The 4,245-nt window shown below is 39.9% G+C and overlaps 2 annotated features.

Moving 5' to 3' along the window:
- Positions 305-599: a silencer, noted in NCBI's record as "tiled region #7187; K562 Repressive non-DNase unmatched - State 24:Quies". NCBI's record gives its function as "represses a minimal TATA promoter and a strong SV40 promoter by Sharpr-MPRA in K562 cells {active_cell/tissue: K562}" and the evidence as "EXISTENCE:reporter gene assay evidence [ECO:0000049][PMID:27701403]".
- Positions 3,562-3,762: a silencer, noted in NCBI's record as "peak7104 fragment used in MPRA reporter construct". NCBI's record gives its function as "represses an SCP1 promoter by STARR-seq MPRAs in K562 erythroleukemia cells {active_cell/tissue: K562}" and the evidence as "EXISTENCE:reporter gene assay evidence [ECO:0000049][PMID:32103011]".

Below are 4,245 nucleotides of genomic sequence, written 5' to 3'. Positions count from 1 at the left end.
TCACTCTGATGTCTCTCCATCTATTAGATAAAACACTGAAAGCTATACTTTACCCAACTCAAATCATTGCCATTAGAAAATATTTTAGAAGTGGGAAAAGAAAATGCTTGGTTTTGCAAAATAGTTTACTTTTAAATCTTATTTTAAGTGTTGATTGACCTTGGCTTCAGGATTCACATGAATCCTTTTTTATTTCAAAATGTTTCATGCATCTCCTCCAGCACCCCCCAACCCCTAAAAAGAAAGGTTAAGAAACATTGGTCCCATCTGAATAGGGGCACCCTGTCTGACTGGGAGTTGATTTTCCAAGTCAGCAGAACCGAGGGAAATTATCTGGAAGTGATGCTGCCTGCATTGGCAGCCTGTACCGAGAGGGCTGGACCCACTTCAGAGTCTGATTATACCAAAGACAAAGAATTGTTGGCATCATCAGTTCCCTGAACAAGCAACAAGTGGGCATTCCATTCCAGGGTGGACCGAGTGACCTCATGATCCTTCCCCAACTGTGAGAAAGTTACTTGTAGCTCAGCTATTAGGAAACAAAGAAAGTTTTATATTTTGTGAAAACCGTAGCTTGACAGAGATTTTATTTGGTCAAGAGTTTTATTGACTGAGAAAAACTAAAAATGTTTTAAAGTACGCTTTGTTTGAAATATTAGATATATCTATATACTCAAAATTTTTTTTTAATTTATTAAACACTTATTGAGCATTTGCTGTGTGCCACGCACTTTGTTAGGTATGCGAAATCCAAAAATGAGTAGGACATGCTGTCCTCAAGGAATATGCAGTTTAGTGGACAGACATTTACGTATTAGGTATGTTATATATAAGACAAGTTCAGTCTCTCTGATCATTAGAATAATGTCTACTAACACAAGGAGGCGGAGTGATACAGAGGAAATATCAGGAATTTAGAATCCCAGAGACCTGGTTGTAAATGATGACTCTATGGATGTTAGGAAGCCATGTGAATTTAAGTTATTTGGTCTCTCTGAGTCTCAGTCCCTCATCTTTAAAATGAAGCTATGACATTTTTCTGATTGTGCTGATGTAAGGATTAGACATATTGTTTGTAAAGGGTTTAGCATACTCCCTGGCCCAGAGTGAAAGATCAGTAAAGTGGGTCTTGTATTAATCCTATTACTTTAATAACAATAATATTGATTAGTGACTCCTCCTAGGGTAGGCAAAGTAAATGTCTAGGAAAAAAGTTCTCTAAGCCTTGATTAAATACCTTACTTTTGAAGAATACATTACTTTTCTATATTTACTAAGGGCAGAGTGTTAACTAAAAAGATAGCATAAATTCAGACAGATATTGTATTTCCAAAAACAAACGTAGTGTCAGTGTGAGACAGTAAGGGTTAGAGAACTAGACTAGGAGTTCTGGCTCTGGTTCGAACTCTGCCTCACAGTGACTGAGAGAAAGTTAGGTAAGCCTCTTAATGGAATAGGGCCAAGGACCTTGGGAGTTGTGGGGCCTTGGGAGAGGCCATCAGCAGCCTCAAGCTCCATCCAATCTGAGTGAAATAGTGTACCTGCTATGCAATGGTGTCTACAAAACCAGTTCTCCAGCTTTGTGGCCAGGTTGCCATGCCAACGCCCTACCTGCACAGAAGATCTGGGGCTGCCACCATCATCCTACTTTTACAATCTTAGTTTCTTCTTCTATAAAATGAAAATAATGCCAGTCCAGCTACTTTAAAAGGTTAGTTGAGAGGATGAAATTATATACATGCAACTATTTAAATAAACGATACCTTTTACTAATGTTTCTCAACTGCTAACCTACCTGAGTCTATGTCACTGGGGGGTGGGGGGAGCTGCTTGTTAAAAGAGCAGATCCCTGGGTCCCATCCTAGACCTGCTATAAGAGAATATTTGAGAATTGAGCCTAGGTTTCTGCGTTTTAAACATGGCTCTCAAATGATTCTTATACACAGTGAGTTAGAGAAATTTTACCTCATTCAAATGTGTTATATAGTTATGACTAAAATATTGGATTGCACGCGGAAAGGGATTACCTTCAGAACTAAAGTTTGGAAACAATAAGTGACCTGCCCAAGGTTACTTATGAGGTGGTAGAAAAAGGGCCCCAATCCAGTCATCTGTAAATCTAGCTCTCCTCCTACAACATCAAGTTGTTTTTTTAAGAAAGGATTATATGAATGAAAAGAGACAGCCTGATTAAAAAATCACCACTTCCATGCTAGACAGGGGCAAGCAGTGGTGGTTCTGAGAGCTTGGCAGGGATGATTCTCTAAGGATCAGACTAAAAGAACAGCACCTGGTGGATCTCAGCCCCTGGCTGCTACTTCCTTTTTGTGTTCTCCTCTAGAACATGTGTTCCCCGGGGCAAACAAGCAAATACTGAGAAAATGGGGAAGTTCCACTTCATGTACTCTTCTAAGACTTCAACCTCAGTAGCTTAACTTTCCATCACAGATCCCAAACTGTGTGCCTTAGCACCCTCAATGAATTCACGGGGGATCACAGTGTTATTTGTAAATTCCAAGCTCAAAATAGTTCAGTTTTAAAATTAGTTCATGCTAATCCTCCTGTAATATTTTCGTGAGGTTGGGTTTTCAGCTGTTGCTGAAACAAAAGCAGTTGCTGATAAAAAGTAGTTACCCTTAGAAAAATCCATGTGTATGCAGAAACTGAGGGTGGTGGTGTCTGAGGTTTGAGAAGTTGTCCAATCCCCAGCCAGCACACATATCCCCTCAGTAAGTAATTGAGGCCCTTTAGGAGCACAATGACAGTATAATTTTTTCTTTTATTTATGTATCTGATTTTTTTCAAATGGCCATTACTTTGATAAGACATATGTATTTATTTGTCAAATTAAATTGGCCCTAACTTCCTAATAAACCTAACTATTATGTATTTCTTTTCTCTCTCTCTCTCTCTCTTTTGAGACAGAGTCTCACTCTGTCATCCAGGTTGGAGTGCAGTGGCGTGATCTTGGCTCACTGCAACCCGCACCTCCTGGGTTCAAGCCATGGTTGTGCCTCAGCCTGTGAAGTTGCTGGGATTACAGGCATGCACCCCCATGCCCGGCTAATTTTTGTATTTTTGGTAGCGACGGGTTTCACTGTGTTGGCAGGCTGGTCTCAAACTCCCAACCTCAGGTGATCCGCCCACTTCGGCCTCCCAAAGGGCTGGGATTACAGGTGTGAGCTACCGCACCTGGCCTATTAGGTATTTCTTTTGGCCTGAGGCGTATGATAAAAATACTGAGACACTAAGTGTATCACAAAGCCATGTATTTTGGGAACTTTTGCTTTGGAAGGGAAGGAGTTGGGGTGGGGGTAGTGTGGGGAAGAATTTCTTTAAAATTTTAAATGCATTTCAACAATTTTTTTCAAAGAGAAAACACTCATTTCTTCTAGCATTAGAGGTAGCAATCAATAAGCTGATGGCCCAGACATTCTGGGTCCTCTTAGCTGTAACAGAATTACATGGGGCTTAGGTTGCCCACCTGTGCTCAGCTATTTCTTCCTGGCAATAAGAGATAGAATTGTTCCTGACTCATCTGTGATCTATCCCAAACCTTTCCCAACTTCTTAGTATGCACCTCAGACAAAGATTGCTTGCTTCAGCCGTAACTGATTGGAGGAAGCAAAAAGAAAAGGAAATGCTGCCGCCATTCTCCCCTCTCCTTGCCATCTTCTCAGTACAGATGTAGAGGAATCAAGTTTCATGGTCTTGAGGTTACTCAACATAGAGATTATCTAGCATTTATTACATTTCTCTTTCTGGGACTTTGTCAGTCAGTTTACAGAAATGTCTTGCAATATTTTTCAAGAAACAAAAACAAGCCAGGGAAGAATTTATTTCATTTGTCCAGAATCCACCACTGAATGGAGAGAGGCTGCCATGGGTGGGAAATGTGAGGCGCTCAGTGCAGTTGTGTAGAGGATGAACGCTAACTTCTTGGCTGTCTTTCTGGCTTCTCATTTTGTGAAATGGAGATAATAATGCCTACCTCAGGGGGGTTTTAAAAGGGCTTAATATATGTAAAGCAAGTGATAGCACAGTTCTCAGCGTTTTTTAAATGTCCAATAATCATAGTAATTACATGTCTTTTGAAGATTAGTTATCAAACTTTCCTGGGCCTTAGCTTTCATGTTGAACTCTACCTTGTAAGTAAGTGTATTTGTTTTTGTTTTGGGGGGTGATTTTTTTGTTTGTTTGTTTTTTGTTTTTGTTTCTTTTTTTTTTTTTTTTGACAGAGTTTTG

The sequence above is a fragment of the Homo sapiens genome, chromosome 8, assembly GCF_000001405.40.
Source record: "Homo sapiens chromosome 8, GRCh38.p14 Primary Assembly".
NCBI lineage: Eukaryota > Metazoa > Chordata > Mammalia > Primates > Hominidae > Homo > Homo sapiens.
Note: the sequence above shows the minus strand (reverse complement) of the source record. Positions and strands in the feature narration are given on the sequence as shown.